Here is a 17,598-nt window from a genome sequence, read left to right as displayed (position 1 = left end):
AGGATGAGAGAAGAGAATCCGGTTTCATTCTTCTATATATGGCCTGCCAATTAACCCAGGACCATTTGTTGAATACGGTGTCCTCTCCCCAGTTTATGTTTTTGTTTGCTTTGTTGAAGTTCGGTTGACTATAAGTACTTGGTTTTATTTCTGGGTCCTCTATTCTGTTCCATTGGTCTATAGGCCTATTTTTATACCAGTACCATGCTGTTTTGGTGACTGCAGCCTTATAGTATAGTTTGAAGTTGGGTAATGTAATGCCTCCAGATTTGTTCTTTTTGGTTAGTCTTACTTTGGCTATGCAGGGTCTTTTTTTGTTCCATATGAATTTTAGGATTATTTTTTCTAGTTCTGTGAAGAATGATGATGGTATTTTGATGAAAATTGCATTGAATTTGTAGTTTTTTTTTGGCAGTATGGTCATTTTCACAATATTGATTCAACCCATTCATGAGCATGGGATGTGTTTCCATTTGTCTGTGTCATCTGTGATTACTTTCAGCAGTGTTTTGTAGTTTTCCTTGTAGAGATCTTTCACCTCCTTGGTTAAGTATATTCCTAGGTACTTTATTTTTGTCACAGCTAAAGTAAAAGGGGTTGAGTTCTTGATTTGATTCTCAGCTTGGTGGCTGTTGGTGTATAGCAGAGCTACTGATTTTGTACAATAATTTTGTATCGTGAAACTGCTGAATTTGTTCACCCATTCTAGGAGACTTTTGGATGAGTCCTTAGGGTTTTCTAGGTATACAATCATGTCATCAGCAAACAACGACAGTTTGACTTCCTTATGACCAATTTAGATGCACTTTATTTCTTTCTCTTGTCTGATTGCTCTGGTTAGGACTTCCAGTACTATGTTGAATAGAAGTGGTGAAAGTGGGAATCCTTGACTTGTCCCAGTTCTCAGCGGGAATGGTTTCAACTTTCCCCCGTTCAGTATAATGTTGGCTCTGGGTTTGTCATAGATGCCTTTTATTTCCTTAAGGTATGTCCCTTCTATGCTGATTTTGCTGAGGGTTTTTTTTTTTTTTTTTTTTGAGATGGAGTCTCGCTCTGTGGCCCAGGCTGGATGCAGTGGCACGATCTCCGCTCACCCGCCTCCTGGGTTCACGCCATTCTCCTGCCTCAGCCTCCCAAGTAGCTGAGACTAGAGGCGCCCACCACCACGCCCGGCTAATTTTTTGTATTTTTTTTGTAGAGACGGGGTTTCACCACGTTAGCCAGTATGGTCTTGATCTCCTGACCTCGTGATCCACCCCCCTCAGTCTTCCAAAGTGCTGGGATTAAAGGCGTTAGCCACCATGCCCAACCCTGCTGAGGGTTTTAATCATAAAGGGATGCTGGATTTTGTGAAATGATTTTTCTGCATCTATTGAGATGATCATGTGATTTTTGTTTTTAATTCTGTTTATGTGGTGTATTACATTTATTGACTTTCATATGTTAAACCATCCTTGCATATCTGGTAGGAAACCCACTTGATCATGGTGGATTATTGTTTTGATATGCTGTTGGATTCTGTTAGCTAGCATTTTTTTTTTTTTCCAGACGGAGTTTCGCTCTTGTTGCCCAGGCTGGAATGCAATGGCGAGATCTCGGCTCACCCCAACCTCCGCCTCTTGGGCTCAAGCGATTCTCCTGCCTCAGCCTCCCAAGTAGCTGGGACTACAGGCATGCACCACTACGCCCAGCTAATTTTGTATTTTTAGTAGAGATGGGGTTTCTCCATGTTGGTCAGGCTGGTCTTGAACTCCTGGCCTCAAGTGATCAGCCCACCTTGGCCTCCCAAAGTGCTGGGATTACAGGTGTGAGCCACCACGCCCGGCCACTAGTATGTTTTGAGGATTTTTGCATCTATGCTCATTAGGTATATTGGCCTGTAGTTTTGTTTTTTTTTTGTTATGTCCTCTCCTGGTTTTGGTATTAGGGTGATACTGGTTTCATAGAATGATTTAGAGGGGATTCCCTCTTTCTCTACCTTTTGGAATAGTGTCAGTGGTATAGGTACCATTTTTTGAATGTCTGATAGAATTCCGCTGTGCATCCATCTGGTTCTGGGCTTTTTTTTGTTGTTGGTACCTTTTTTTTTTTCTTTGAGGTGGAGTTTCACTCTTGTCGCCCAGGCTGGAGTGCAATAGCACGGTCTCTGCTCACTGCAACCTCCACTTCCTGGGTTCAAGTGATTCTCCTGCCTCAGCCTCCCGAGTAGCTGGGATTCCAGGCATGTACCACCACCCCTGGCTAATTTTTTTGTATTTTTAGAAGAGACGGAGTTTCTCCATGTTGGTCAGGCTGGTCTCAAACTCCCGACCTCAGGTGATCTGCCCGCCTAGGCCTCCCAAAGTGCTGGGACTACAGGCGTGAGCCACTGCGCCCGGCCGGTAATTTTTTAAATTACCATTTTTTTTTTTTTTTTTATTGATCATTCTTGGGTATTTCTCACAGAGGGGGATTTGGCAGGGTCATAGGACAATAGTGGAGGGAAGGTCAGCAGATAAACAAGTGAACAAAGGTCTCTGGTTTTCCTAGGCAGAGGACTCTGCGGCCTTCCGCAGTGTTTGTGTCCCTGGGTACTTGAGATTAGGGAGTGGTGATGACTCTTAACGAGCATGCTGCCTTCAAGCATCTGTTTAACGAAGCACATCTTGCACCACCCTTAATCCATTTAACCCTGAGTGGACACAGCACATGTTTCAGAGAGCACAGGGTTGGGGGTAAGGTCACAGATCAACAGGATCCCAAGGCAGAAGAATTTTTCTTAGTACAGAACAAAATGAAAAGTCTCCCATGTCTACTTCTTTCTACACAGACACGGCAACCATCCGATTTCTCAATCTTTTCCCCACCTTTCCCCTCTTTCTATTCCACAAAACCGCGATTGTCATCCTGGCCCGTTCTCAATGAGCTGTTGGGTACACCTCCCAGACGGGGTGGTGGCCGGGCAGAGGGACTCCTCACTTCCCATTAGGGGCGGCCAGGCAGAGGAGCCCCTCACCTCCCTCCCGGAGGGGGCGGCTGGCCGGGCGGGGGGCTGACACCCCCACCTCCCTCCTGGATGGGGCGGCTGGCCTGGCGGGGGCTGACCCCCACCTCCCTCCCAGACAGGGTGGCTGCCGGGCGGAGACGCTCCTCACTTCCCAGACGGGGCGGCTGCCAGGCAGAGGGTCTCCTCACTTCTCAGACGGGGCGGCCGGGCAGAGACGCTCCTCACCTCCCAGACGGGGTCGCGGCAGGGCAGAGGCGCTCCTCACATCCCAGACGGGGCGGCGGGGCAGAGGTGCTCCCCACATCTCAGACGATGGGCAGCCGGGCAGAGACGCTCCTCACTTCCTAGATGGGGATGGAGGCCGGGAAGAGGCGCTCCTCGCTTCCTAGATGGGATGGCGGCCGGGCAGAGACGCTCCTCACTTTCCAGACTGGGCAGCCAGGCAGAGGGGCTCCTCACATCCCAGACGATGGACGGCCAGGCAGAGACACTCCTCACTTCCCAGATGGGGTGGCGGCCGGGCAGAGGCTGCAATCTCAGCACTTTGGGAGGCCAGGGCAGGCGGCTGGGAGGTGGAGGTTGTAGCGAGCCGAGATCACGCCACTGCACTCCAGCCTGGGCACCATTGAGCACTGAGTGAACGAGACTCTGTCTGCAATCCTGGCACCTTGGGAGGCCGAGGCTGGCAGATCACTCGCGGTTAGGAGCTGGAGACCAGCCCGGCCAACACAGCGAAACCCCGTCTCCACCAAAAAAATACGAAAACTAGTCAGGCGTGGCGGCGCGCGCCTGCAATTGCAGGCACTCGGCAGGCTGAGGCAGGAGAATCAGGCAGGGAGGTTGCAGTGAGCCGAGATGGCAGCAGTACAGTCCAGCTTCGGCTTGGCATCAGAGGGAGACCGTGGAAAGAGAGGGAGAGGGAGACTGTGGGGAGAGGGAGAGGGAGGGGGAGGGGGAGGGGGAGGGGGAGAGGTAGAGCCTAAATTACCATTTCAATCTCACTGCTTGTTATTGGCCTGTTCAGGGTTTCCATTTCTTCCTGGTTTAATCTAGGAGGGTTGTATATTTTCAGGAATTTATCCATGTCCTCTAGGTTTTCTAGTTTATGTGCATAAAGGTGTTCATAGTAGCCTTGAATGATCTTTTGTATTTCTGTGGTATTGGTTGTAATATCTTCTGTTTTGTTTCTAATTGAGCTTATTTGAATCTTCTTCCTTCTTTTCTTGGTTAATCTTACTAATTGTCTATCAATTTGATTTATCTTTTCAAACAACCAGCTTTTTGTTTCATTTATCTTTTGTAATTTTTTGTTTCAATTTCATTTAGTTTTGCTCCGATCTAGGTTATTTTTTTTTCTTCTGCTCATTTGGGTTTGGTTTGTTCTTGTTTCTCTAGTTCCTGGAGGTGCGACCCTAGATTGTTTATTTGTGCTCTTTCAGACTTTTTGATGTAGGCATTTAATGCTATGAACTTTCCTCTTAGCACTGCTTTTTCTGTATCCCAGAGGTTTTGATAGGTTCGGTCACTATAATCATTCAGTTCAAGGAATTTTTTTTTTTTTTTTTTTGGAGACAGAGTCTTGCTCTGTCACCCAGGCTAGAGTGCAGTGGCACCATCTCGCCTCACTGCAATCTCTACCTCCCGGGTTCAAGCAAAGCAATTCTCCTGTCTCAGCCTCCTGAGTAGCTGGGACTACAGGTACCCACCACCACACCAAGCTAATTTTTGTATTTTTAGTATAGACAAGGTTTCACCATATCAGTCAGGCTGCTCTCAAATCCCTGACCTCAGGTGATCCACCCACCTTGGCCTCCCAAAGTGTGGGGATTACAGGATTGAGCCACCACACAGGCCAGTTCAAAGAATTTTTGTATTTCCATCTTGATTGTATTGTTGATCCATTGATCATTCAGGAGCAGGTTACTTAATTTCCACGTATGTGCATGGTTTTGAGGGCTCCTTTTGGTGTTGATTTCCAATTTTATTTCACTGTGGTCTGAGAGAGTACCTGACATAATTTCAATTTTCTCAAATTTGTTAAGACTTGTTTTGTGGCCTATCATATGATTTATCTTGGAGAATGTTCCATGTGCTAATGAATAGAATGTACATTCTGCAGTTGTTGGGTGGAGTGTTCTATAAATATCTGTTAAATCCATTTGTTCTAGGGTAGAGTTTAAGTCCATTGTTTCTTTGTTGACTTTCTATCTTGATGACCTGTCTAGTGCTGTCAGTAGAGTATTAACATCCCCCACTATTGTTGTGTTGCCATCTATCTCATTTCTTAAGTCTAGTAGTAATTGTTTTATAAATTTAGGAGCTCCAGTATTAGGTGCACATATATTTAGGATTGTGATATTTTCCTGTCAGACTAGTCCTTTTGTCATTATATAATGTCCCTCTTTGTCTTTTTAAACTGTTGTTGCTTTAAAGTCTATTTTTTCTGATAGAAGAATAGCTACTCCTGTTTGCTTTTGGTGCCCATTTGCATGGAACATCTTTTTCCATCACTTTATCTTAAGTTTGTATGTGTCCTTATGTGTTAGGTGAGTCTCTTGAAGACAGCAAATACTTAGTTGGGGAATTCTTATCCATTTTGCAATTCCATATCTTTCAAGTGGAGCATTTAGGCCATTTACATTGAGTGTTAGTATTGAGATGTGAGGTACTATTCTATTCATTATGCTAGTTGTTGCCTAAATACCTTTTTTTTTTTTTTTGTAGTGTGATTATTTTATAGGCCCTGTGAGATTTATGCTTTAAGCAGGTCACATTTTGGTATATTTCAAGATTTTGGTTCAAGATTTAGAACATCTTTTAGTAGTTCTTATAGTGCTGGCTTGTTAGTGGCAAATTCTCTCAGCATTTGTTTGTATGAAAAATACTTTATCTTTCCGCTGGGCACAGTGGCTCATGCCTGTAATCCTAGCACTTTGGGAGGCTGAGGCAGGCGGATCATGAGGTCAGGAGATGGAGAGCATCCTGGCTAACATGATGAAACCCCATCTCTACTAAAAATACAAAAAATTAGCTGGGCGTGGTGGTGGGCGCCTGCAGTCCCAGTTACTTGGGAGGCTGAGGCAGGAGAATGGCATGAACCCAGGAGGCGGAGCTTGCAGTGAGCTGAGATTGTGCCACTGCACCCCAGCCTGGGTGACAGCAAGACTCCGTCCCAAAAAAAAAAAAAAAGAAAAATACTTTATCTTTTCCTTCATCACTTTTACTGGATACAAAATTCTGGGTTGATAATTATTTTGTTTAAGTGTCTAAAGATTGGACCCCAATCCCTTCTAGCTTGTAGGGTTTCTGCTGATAAATCTGCTGTTAATCCGATAGGTTTTCCTTTACAGGTTACTTGATGCCTTTGCCTCACAACTCTTAAGATTCTTTCCTTCATCTTGACCCTAGATAACCTGATGACTATGTGTCTAGGTGATGATCTTTTTGAGATGAATTTCCCAGGTGTTCTTTGAGCTTCTTGTATTTGAATGTCCAAATCTGTAGCAAGGCCAGGGAAGTTTTCCTCAATTATTCCCTCAAATAAAATTTTCAAACTTGCAGATTTCTCTTCTTCCTCAGGAACATCAATTATTCTTAAGTTTGGTCATTTAACATGATCCCAAACTTCTTGGAGGCTTTGTTCATTTGATTCTTTTTTCTTTGTTTTTGTCAGAGTTAATTTGAAAGCCTTGTCTTAGAGCTCTGAAGTTCTTTCTTCTAGTTGTTTGATTCTATTGTTGAAACCTGCCATAGTATTTTGCACTTCTCTAAGGGTGTCCTTCAGGCCGGGCGCGGTGGCTCACGCCTGTAATCCCAGCACTTTGGGAGGCCGAGGCGGGCGGATCACGAGGTCAGGAGATCGAGACCATCCCGGCTAAAACGGTGAAACCCCGTCTCTACTAAAAATACAAAAAATTAGCCGGGCGTAGTGGCGGGCGCCTGTAGTCCCAGCTACTTGGGAGGCTGAGTCAGGAGAATGGCGTGAACCCGGGAGGCCGAGCTTGCAGTGAGCCGAGATAGCACCACTGCACTCCAGCCTGGGCAATAGAGCGAGACTCCATCTCAAAAAACAAACAAACAAACAAACATAAAAAAGCCCAGAGTATTAACACTTGCTTATGATGCAATTTGAGAGCAAACACTTTTTGTACTTTTAAATGAAATTGTGCTGGGAAATACAAGGCAAAAAAACTGGGAAAATTTGTTTTTGTTAACAGAAGATGATGCAATAAGGAATCCAGATGAAACATAAGACCAGTGTTTACAATTTCTCATAAAAAGTGTAATTTTCAGCTGTAGCCTCATAGCTAGCTAACAGCTTTTAAAAACATGTACAGCCAGCCAACAGTTCTCTAAAGCATGTTTATGCTGCACTAAAAGATCCCTGCTAAACATCAACTGTACTTAAATGGGTTTTACTGAAGTAGGACTTTCATGATACTTTTAAAAGCCAGTCGTTTAAAAAGTGAATATGATAGGGCTACAATAATAACATTACTATTTTTTTCCCTTGGTTAATATGCCTCTATTTGAAACAAACCTACAGGTGCTTCTTAATACCATGGAATCATGAATTCTTGCAGTTATCAGCGTTTCCTAATGATTAAAACAATGTTCACATAATTACAAAGTTACTTCATCAAAATACTTAGAAGTATTTTGATTTTCTGAGGAGTGTTTGAAAGCTCTGTTTATAAATAGTGATTGTTACATTTATTATGTATTTGGTGCTGAAGATAAACACTTTTTACATAAAACAGTGTTTTAATATACTGGTCTACTAATGAGGCTAGTTATTAGATATACTGTATGTTAACACTGAAGAATAAAGCTTTATCTTCATATTTATTTTATTTGTAGGTCTCTTATCAATGAAGAACTTTGTATCCAACAATAATAAACTGTCATATTGCAAGTTGCATTTTGTAGAAGCAAAAAAGACTGGCTGTGACGAAATAAAGAAGATATTTGCATTATACATGCTTCTTACAAACAGTCCATTCTGAATGGTAGAATTAAATGCAAACCAAATGCTTTTAAATGTTTGTGTGCCTAGATGGCAACTACAATCTCCACACACTTAAAAGAACAATAACACAGAACACAGTATCCTTAATGATTGTAGCACATTTAACACCTTCAGCCATCACTGGGTTTTCAGATCATATTGGCAATTGAAATTTCACATCCACATGCGCTTGCTTTGCTTCACTATTTCAGAGAGCTTTACAAGCACTCTAGCAGCTTCCACCAAATCATCACAAGCAAGTATTTTAAGTCCACTGTCTGCTTTTAGTGCCTTAACATCATCAACTTGTGTACCTTGTAACTGTACCACAACAGGTATTTTAATTTCCAAACTTTTTACTGCCATGACTATACCCTTTGCTGTAATATCACAGTGCATGATTCCTCCACAAATGTTGACCAGAATAGCCAGTACCTTTTTATCTGAAGTGATAGGCTTAAATGCTTCTGTTACTTGATGGACTGTAGCACCACCACCAACAAGGAAATTAGCTGGAGTCTCTCCATGAAGTTTTATTATATCCATTGTGGCCATAGCCAAACCAGCACCATTTACTAGGCAGCCTATACTTCCATCGAGGCCAGTGTAGTTGAGATCTGCCTTAGCAGCATCTTTGTTCCTTTCATCTTCCTGGGTCCAGTCCTGTAGATCAAACATTTTCTTTTGGCGATAGGCTGAATTAGAGTCAAAATTGATCTTTGCATCCTTACACAATGCAGCTCCATCTGAATCTTCCACCATTGAATTTATTTCTATCATGGTTGCATCGTATTTCAGAAAAAGGCTGTAAAGCTTGATCATGTTTTCTGCTGCTGAAGCCACAATATTAGATGGAAATCCCATCTTCTGTGCAAGCTGGAGAGCTTATTCCTCTTTGATACCTTCTACAATATCAATAGGTACTTTAATTATTGCTTCAGGAGTCTCAGCAGCAACATCTTCAATGTTGGCCCCACTATGTAAACTTCCTATTAATACAAGACCTTGAAATGACCTTTCCATTGTTATTGCAAAGTAGCACTCTCTCTTGGGATATTTTCACTCACAGACCAATACCTGATTGCATATTCTGCCCTTTTCTCCCATTTGCTTGGTAAACAACTGTTTCCTAATCATTTGTGAAGGAACAGCTTTTGCTTCTTCTGGAGAGAAAACCATCTTCACTCCTCCTTTGAGGCCACTTTCAAATGTTCCTTTTCCTCTACCACCAGCTAAAACCTGTGCCTTCATCACAACATCTTTTGAACCTAATTTTTTGGCAATTGCATAAGCTTCATCTGGTCACTTTGCCACATATCCTTTGGGAACAGAGACACCAGTTTCTTGCAATAATTCCATACTCATGTATTCATGTAGTGAGAGATTCCTTTGCTGTTGCTGCTGTACTTGGAGTCCATGGTTATTAAACAATCCAGAACTTCCCAGAACCTGAGCAGCAGCCCGCAGTGTGGTCCGAAGGGTGGCGGCCACCAACAGCGGGCGGAAGAACATGGAGGCCACCATTTCTGAGTCTAACATTACTATTAATAAAAGTTACAGAAGAGATTATTGCTGTAGTTTTCCTCATAAACACCATCAAATTTCGTTGCAGTTACAAAAAGTACAACCATGTTACTTTTTCTCTTACCAAATTTCATTGTCTTCCATGTCTGTAAAGTTTTTATTCAGTAGAAGATAATTCTTCCACTCTTTTCTGTAAGAATTCAAAGTATTTAAATGTGTAACTTCATACTATATTACCATGTTTTTCCCTTCTTGTTTCATATATATACGTATATATATGTATATATATGTATATATACGTATATATACGTATATATGTATATATGTATATATATGTATATATGTATATATGTGTATATATGTATATGTGTATATATGTATATATGTATATATGTGTATATATGTATATATGTGTATATATGTATATGTGTGTATATATGTATATATATGTGTGTATATATGTATATATATGTGTATATATGTATATATATGTGTGTGTGTGTGTGTATATATATATGTATATATATATATATATATATATATCTCATTTTTCAAAAAGGAAACCAGGTGTCCACATTTTAAAGAAACCCTGCATGGGTTTGGACAATGAGAAGAAAAAATTTTAAAAAGCCTACAAAAAAGTTTCAGAGCTATAAAAGATTTTCATATGGCATGAAGTGATCTCCTGCTAGTCCAGAGTTCAAAAACACTCTAATGAAGTTCATTTATATATATTTTGTTTGCTTTTCATGGAATACTACATTTATTGAGGTGAAATCACCTGTTTTTTTTTTTTTAGCTATTTAAGTCAACAAGGGTACACAAGTGTTTTTCAATACAGTTATTAAAAATAGGAGGCCAACTTGAATGTGCCAGATGGATTCCATTCAGTTGGGTTTCTAGAGTCATCAGGAAGAACGTTAGAGAAAAGATTTCCTTGTTTGGTTTCTATAGCTTGATAGACCAAAAAACAAACAAACAAAACCTACTACAACAACAAACAGCAAAATTTTTGTCCATACAGAAATGGCTCATTCTTTTTTTGTCTTTTCTGACTTGACATCTGCCAAGGGAACACACTTAGGAACATATTTAGATGAAAAAGATTCTGCCATCCTGAACTCAGTGAGTTCTAATGGCCTGCCTGTAGCCCCTTTGACTGGTCTGCAGCAATTCCTGTTGGTGTAGATGCTTCATAGGGCAACATTTCCTTAAGAATATCCCTTTCTACTCTTCTTTATTCTGTTCCCCCCCAACCCCAGTGGTCTCTTTGGAGTTTGGGGTATGTTTGAAAATTTACTGAGTTGCAGAATAGGAGCTGCATGCTTGAAATTTCCAGTCATCCTACTGACAACGAAGGTTTTGTGTCCTGAAGCCATTAGAGTTTCAGCTGTGGGAGCACTCTCTGAAATTACTGCACTGTCTATTGGAAAATGTTCTGGTTTCCACCCTCTTCCTTGGCCTTCTCCTCCGGTCTCTGGTAGACTCCCTACTCCAGGCCTGCAGAGCTCCGCCTTCTGAAGCTCCACTTGTGCGTTCAGCCTCAGTTATTCCAGCGTGAGAATAGCTCTGACTATCTCAAGTCTTCTTTTCTTCAGTGTTACTGGAGTCTTTGCTCTGCCCTTTAGTGGTTCTGTCTTCTCAAGCTTGATCTTTACTCTAGTCTTCTTCATTGTCACAGTATCTATTAGAACCTTTATTTCAATTCTGCCTTCCATTTTCTGCTGAAGATTAAATTGTTAATCCGCCGAGATGGGCAGATCCCTTGAGCTCAGGAGTTGGAGACCAGCCTGGACAACACGGGGAAAGCCCGTCCCTACCAAAAATACAAAAAAAAAAAAAAAAAAAAAAAAAAAAAAAAAAAAAAAAAATGTAGCCAGGCGAGGTGGCGCATGCCTGTGGTTCTAGCCACTCAGGAGTCTGAGGCACGAGAATCTCTTGAACCCGGGAGGCGGAGGCCGCAGTGAGCCGAGAGCCGAGATCGCGCCACTGCACGCCAGCCTGGGCGACAGATCGTCCTCGTTCCTTCGGTTTCAAGGTTTTTTTCTCACATCGCTTCCTGGTTGTTCTCCAGTAGGACTAGGTTTCTCTTTATACCTCGCAAGCGGGTCCACGAGATCTTCATTAGTGAGCGCGGTTACCTCGAGATCAGCTTTATCTTTTGGTCTGAGTTGAACTGTTTTCTTCGTGGCTTTCCTGCTGTGGGTGGCTTGGCTCTGGAGCCAGCTGGGGGAGGCGGGGCCCTCGCTGTCGGCGCCGCGGCGGGGTAGAGGTAGCGGCGGGGTAGAGGTAGGGCCGAGTGCTGCAGGCGAGGCTGCGCGTCCTGGTCTCTGCGCTGCTCCGGGCCGGGAGCCTCACTTTAATGGCGACCAACTCACTCATCAACTTGTCTTTCGTCAGGACCCAGGAGTCTTCCAGGAACGCTGGCATATCCAGGAGCTGCGAGTCCCGCTCCCGGCAGCCTTCGCAGCCTCCGGTCCCGCCCGAGCTCGCCCGGGCCTCGCGGCTCCCGCCCCGGAGGAGCGCCGCGGAGCAGGGCAAAAACTTGCGGACAGAAAGCCAGGCCAGACCCGACACAAAAGCCCCGGGGCTGAACGATGCAGACACCCGCGGCCAAGCCGGAAGCCCGCACCAACCCCAGCCCCCACACTACAGGCCACTTATTTTATTTTATTCTTTTTAAAATGTGGGTTTCTGGTCTATGCAATTCACCTCGGTGTGACTCAGGAAGGACACTGGAAGTCCACTGATCTGGCCAGGACAGAACCACGTGTGTGTTTAGGAAAAGTGGCCTTCTGTTCTCCATCCCTAGGGGCTCACGGGATACCCTTAGAACAGACTGGCCACAGGAATTCCCAGTTAAGGCAGAAGGTTGACATGAGATCAGTGTTTCAGGATTAAGTTCTCACGAAGGGCAGAAAACTGGGAAGCCCATACTTTTCCACGTTAATCAATTGGTTCCATAAACATCATTCCATTTATGTTTTTGTGTTTTTTATTAATAATTCCTTTGAGCTTCACTGGGAGAGATGAGTATGACTGTGGAGTTCAGTTCTGTAAAGCATGGGGTGGCTAAGAAAGGGAAGTAACTGGCCCCAGAATCCCACAGTCACCCAGTGACCTTCAGCCCAAGAATCTGATGGCCACTGCTGCACTCCAAGGGAAAGGAGGCCATCCGGAGAGAAGAGAATTACAAGAATAAGAGTGCAGAGAGTGTCCCACAGTCCTGAGATTCGTACAGAAGCACAGGAGGAAGCAAGTGTCCAAGTATCCAGAGTCCTGTGAAGTAGGGATTTCAGTCCTCAAAGCTACCCTCTCCCATCTGCCAAGTCTTCTGTGGACGTGCGTGGCTGTGTTTCCCTTCCCATTCCCTTTGGGCAGTGTGCTATAGGTTTCCATGTGAGGGCCAGTACTCCTTGCCTCTCATCTCCCTCTCCATTTTGCCGCAAATGCAAGGGACCCCATACTCGCCCTTGCCCCACCTCTTGCCTCTCCTGGGGACATTCTTCCTGCTCAGTAGTGGGCCTTGTGAGGACCTGCAGGACAGCCTGAGTGGGAGCTACCCCAAGGGCCCAAGGAGTTCCAGGAACCCCATCTGCACTCACTCACCTCCCCATCAAGCGCCCCTGCATTCTTCCTGCACTGCACTCCAGGTGTTGACAGCTCCTGGGCAGGGTAGCAGGTTCCAGGGAGCCCAGGCTGAATGGAGCTTGGGAGCTGAGGTCCTCTGCTGGGGATTCACTGTTCCAAGAGGACAGGATTCTGCCTTTATGGGGGAAGGGCTGGATAGGAACCAGGAGACCAGTTATAGGCCTGTTGCTATCAATCCTGGGACCAGTTAATTGATCTGTGTTCAGTACAGGATAGCAAAAATGGACTTGACCTTTTCTCTGTGTAACTTTTTTCAGAAACCATCACGTCCAGCCTTCCTTCCCTGGGCACAGAGGAGACCTGCCTCAGGCGAAGTTCTTCTGTGGAATTAAAAAGTCTCTTGGGCTCAGCTCTCCCCAGGGGCCTTCAGAACTCACCAAGGATAGAGCTGCAGACCTCTGGTGGTCAAATAGGGACTAAAACCGATTACACCTACAAGTCAATTGCAAATCAGTCTTTCTTTCTGTTGCACCTGTGCCCCTCACTTAGTCACCTGTCTTAGATGGAAGCTTCGGGCCCCTCCTGGGCCCCAACCCTGCGGTCCCCAGGTTCGCGGTTTTTCACGTCTAATCTCAATTGGCCCCTTCCCCACACACCGTGTTTGACCACCCAGTTCACAGAACGCCCCGGGCTTCCTAGTGGGCCAGGTCCTCCTTAGAGAGGCAAGAAGGTGGAGAGGGAGCGTGGACGCCGAGCGCCCGCTGGGCAAACCCGAATCTGGGGCCTGACCTAGCCGGTAGCCGGTGACGGGGCCGGTGGTGGCTTGGAGACTCCTCTCTGGTCCTCTGCTCTTGGCCCCAGCCCCGCGCTCACAGCCACCTCCTGAAGCCGCCAGTGCTGCGTCCTCTTGGCCACGTAGGGGAAGAGCGGACTGGACGGAAGCAGCGGACTCTGGGCGCTGTCAAGGTCACTGTTGTGAAAAGCCGGGAGACCAGATGTGGACACAGGGAGGCCTGGACCCGAGGCGCGGCTGGCCAGAGGCCTCGTGTCTGCCCCTCTTCACAGCTTCCAGGGAAGCTCCCCGCGTATCCTCAAAGCAGAGAGCGGTTTCCAAACGGACCCCCACAGCGCCCGATTGGGCCATCCCGCCCCAGGCTGGAGGGTGGGTGCTCATGGGGTCGCCAGTCACCAAGGGCCCCATCTGAGCGCACCCGGTCCCTCCTCCAGGCTCGCCTGGGCCTCGAGGGCGGCGAACAGCTCGGCTTTGAAGAAGGCTCCGGCCGGCGCTGCCCAAGTCGGGCAGCCTTCCTGGCCCACCCGGGAGTTGAGTTTCAAGGCTTCCCGGAGAGGCCAGCCCAGATTCGCAGCGGAGAGTTTCTCAGGCCACAAACCTCGGAGAGAAGCAGCCGTGGTTCCCTGTGCCCTGGGCCACCGCTGGGCGGGGCAGGAAGCCTCCCTGGCGTTTCCTCGCGGGCGCGACTACGAGCCGCGGAAACCAGTGGCCGCTCCACACTATTTAAGCTGAGGTTCCTCTGCCATGGCTGCGGTTTGCGGTTTCAGCTTAGTGTACCACTTAGTACTAATATTATTACTTAGTGAACTTAGTGCACTTAGTGCTCTAAGTTTACCAAGTTTACCATTTATTGTACTTAGTGTACTTAGTGCTCTAAGTTTACCAAGTTTACCACTTAGTGTACCTAGTCTACTTAATCAACACTTAGTGTATTTAGTGTTTCAGCTTAGTGTAGAGAGGCTTCTTTCTTCCTTTTCTGGAGGAGTCAGTGGTTAGAGACGATTTCCGTGGTTAGAGCGTACTTGGTCTTTAGAAGACGACTTTGGTGTCCATTGCCAACCCCATCAGAGATCGCAGGCCTTTTCCCCTCAGTCCCAGCTCATCAGCAAAGGTCTGGGTGGCTGTCTCCAGAGGAGACTGAACGAGGTTGTCAAAGCGGCTGGATCAAAAGTGTTGCCATGTCGGATGGAGTGGTGTCCACGATGAACCTGAGCATGGTACCAGCATCTGGGGGTGTGGAATTGGGAGGGAAAGCTGGGGCCCCACAGTGTGAGGAAGGAGGAGCATGGTCAAACCAGACTGGGCAGAGTCCTCGGTATTTAGGAATCTCTAAATACTAAATACTAAATCTCTAAATACTAAATACTGAGCTGGGATGGAATCTCTGTGCTGGAGGCTAGTGGTGCAAACATTTTTTCCGCATGAGGTTCAGAAAGGTTAGGCGGCGGTTTCTCATCTGCAGGCACAGGTGACTGACTGCCTTCAGCATGGGCCCATCTGTCCATCTCTCCTCCTGACCCTGGTCTCATTACAGGAGAGGGAACTGGGTGCTAGAGGGTGGGGAATCCAGGATGTCAGAGGTGTCACACCTGGATAAAGCGTTTTGAAAACACAAGTCCCAGGGCTGATTATTGATTTTACCACATGCAGCCTGTTTTTATTTATGAAGTTTCTTTTCTTTTCCCTTAACTTCCAATGATACACTATAATGTACATCAATGTCCTTAAAATGTATGTAGTCCTCTTCATCTAGTAACTATACTGATCCTCAAGTATCCATTCTCTAGTCAAGCGTTATACCTGTTTCTCCTACCCCACGGCAGTGCTGGGTCTGGTGTACCCCTCCCGCAGTATCGCCTCCCCCTAAATAAGCACGTTTCCCTATAATTTCTTACTTTTTCTCTATGCCTTCCCATCATGTTTGCACTCACTGTGAAGTAAGGAAACGCTTCCTAATTCTGTTATTCCTTCCTACTCTTAGGAGATTTCTCCCTCTGCGCTGAGGATCTCACTGTGCACCTCCAGCCCTGGGTCCTGGTGGGCTCTGGTGGCCACTGGAGTCTTTGGAACTGCCTCCCTCTGGCTCTGCTGGGTGAGTGCTCTTCTGTCTTCTGTTTCTCCACTGATAAAAACAAATCCGAGAACATGTTCACAATAACACTTCCAGAAAGGATGGTGTGGAAGGGGATAAGGAGTAGGGGAAGGAACTCCACTCCCTTGGATGAATTTAGAGACAATTTGCTACATTAATCTCTGGCCAGGAGCCAAGACAGAGTCTAGAGTAAGCCAGGCTGCTCAGGTCAAATATCTGAAGGCCTCCTCTTCTCCCTCCTCACATTTCAGTAGACTCAGTGCCAAGGGCTTGTCCTGGGGACAGGTGGCCTCAGCCACAGTAAATCCCTGAGATCCTGGACCACTGCGTGGAACCCTGTTCTCTGCATGAGGCAGGCTCCAGGTGCTACCTGCTTCCCTTTCATTTCCCCTGTTACAAAACATGGTCTCCCCTCTACTCTCTCTCAATCCTTCCTAGCCACCAGCTTCCTGGCAAGCAACCACATGGAAGCCTTTTACTTCATATTTTGTTCTTTATCTTTATGTCTCTTGATAATATACATTTATGCCACTTCAAATGTTTCCATTTTAGATATTATGTATTGACTTTTCAATATCCCTTCTGTCCATAGTACCTTCCCCAGCACACACATTTTCATCCTCCTCGTGTAGGCAGGTGGAGATTTTGAGTGCATTGAGAGCCAGAGTTAAAATTACTGACTTACGTGACTGCTACTCAGACCTGAGCCACATGGTAAACTCTCTTAGTTTTTCTTTCCACATATGCTGAAGTTTTCAAGATTTGATCATTGCCTAGTATTTTCATTTTCTTACTTTCCATGAACCTTAAATGAATTCACCAACTGTTCCTTAGTTGAGTAAATGTCTTCTCAATACCTTTAAACTTATGTTGGCTGTTGTCAAGGTCATCTTCTTGGAGATGGCTTCCCCTCTGCTGTCCACCCACCCAGGTGACCCTCTTCCTTTCTGGTCCTGTTGCCCTTTCACCTTTTCATGGGTTGATGCCTGATTTCATACATCCCATATCTTGGTATTTTTTTTGTTCTTGTTGTTGGTTGATGTTGTTGTTGTTGTTATTTTTTGTATATTCCTTCCTCCTCTGTTTGGTATGTTCCCTCCTTCAGTTTTGTTATCCTTCAACTTTGCTATCAGGAGAAAATTTTTCATGACTTGCAATATCTGAATTTCACCCTATTTTACAGGGTTGGATTCGGGCATCGATGTCACACCCAGCAGGAACAACTGGGGCCACTGGAGGATTCCCAAGGACACAGGTTGTCCTTTTCATGCAGGAAGAATCTGAATCGTTTCCATCCAGTTTCCCCGGCATGCAGCAGAATACAACACAAGGGGCTGCGGTCTTCTCTGACTCTTAAGGCCCTTGGAAGATCCTGTTCTGCCAAAATCAGGGTGATTTGGGCAAGCATCCTTAGGGCTCTGGACCTTAGTTTCTTTCCCTGGTTGATTGATTGACCATATAGGTGTCCTAACTCACATAGTTGAAAATCAGATGTGGTGAAAGTGCATTGAGACCAGAAACAATGTTATTGTCCTGAAATGCATGCCCAGAGAGCACTGAATAAATTTTTAAAACACCTGACCACAGCTGGCATTTCTGTTCTT

The 17,598-nt window shown here is 45.3% G+C and overlaps 1 protein-coding gene and 2 pseudogenes across 1 annotated transcript, besides 2 other annotated features; 1 reads left to right on the top strand and 2 right to left on the bottom strand.

Annotated features, from left to right (window-relative positions):
- Positions 2,397–3,020: an enhancer, noted in NCBI's record as "NANOG-H3K27ac-H3K4me1 hESC enhancer chr6:30443157-30443780 (GRCh37/hg19 assembly coordinates)". NCBI's record gives its function as "activates a minimal SCP1, AML or CMV promoter by ChIP-STARR-seq in primed H9 embryonic stem cells {active_cell/tissue: H9 hESC(primed)}" and the evidence as "EXISTENCE:reporter gene assay evidence [ECO:0000049][PMID:30033119]".
- SUCLA2P1 (SUCLA2 pseudogene 1) lies at positions 7,478–9,522 on the bottom strand (annotated as a pseudogene).
- On the bottom strand, positions 9,529–12,175 carry TMPOP1 (thymopoietin pseudogene 1; annotated as a pseudogene).
- Positions 11,741–12,484: an enhancer, noted in NCBI's record as "H3K4me1 hESC enhancer chr6:30433693-30434436 (GRCh37/hg19 assembly coordinates)". NCBI's record gives its function as "activates a minimal SCP1, AML or CMV promoter by ChIP-STARR-seq in naive H9 embryonic stem cells {active_cell/tissue: H9 hESC(naive)}" and the evidence as "EXISTENCE:reporter gene assay evidence [ECO:0000049][PMID:30033119]".
- LOC105375012 (uncharacterized) lies at positions 14,797–17,575 on the top strand. The gene is made up of 3 exons (XM_047419620.1): positions 14,797–15,119; positions 15,884–15,994; positions 17,178–17,575. Exons 1-3 carry the CDS (start codon positions 15,081–15,083, stop codon positions 17,349–17,351), a joined length of 324 nt encoding a protein of 107 aa, XP_047275576.1. The 5' UTR covers positions 14,797–15,080; the 3' UTR covers positions 17,352–17,575.
- The last annotated feature ends 23 nt before the right edge of the window (positions 17,576–17,598 follow it).

Source organism: Homo sapiens, chromosome 6 (genome assembly GCF_000001405.40).
Source record: "Homo sapiens chromosome 6, GRCh38.p14 Primary Assembly".
NCBI classification, from domain to species: domain Eukaryota; kingdom Metazoa; phylum Chordata; class Mammalia; order Primates; family Hominidae; genus Homo; species Homo sapiens.
This window is presented reverse-complemented; position numbering and strand designations above follow the sequence as displayed.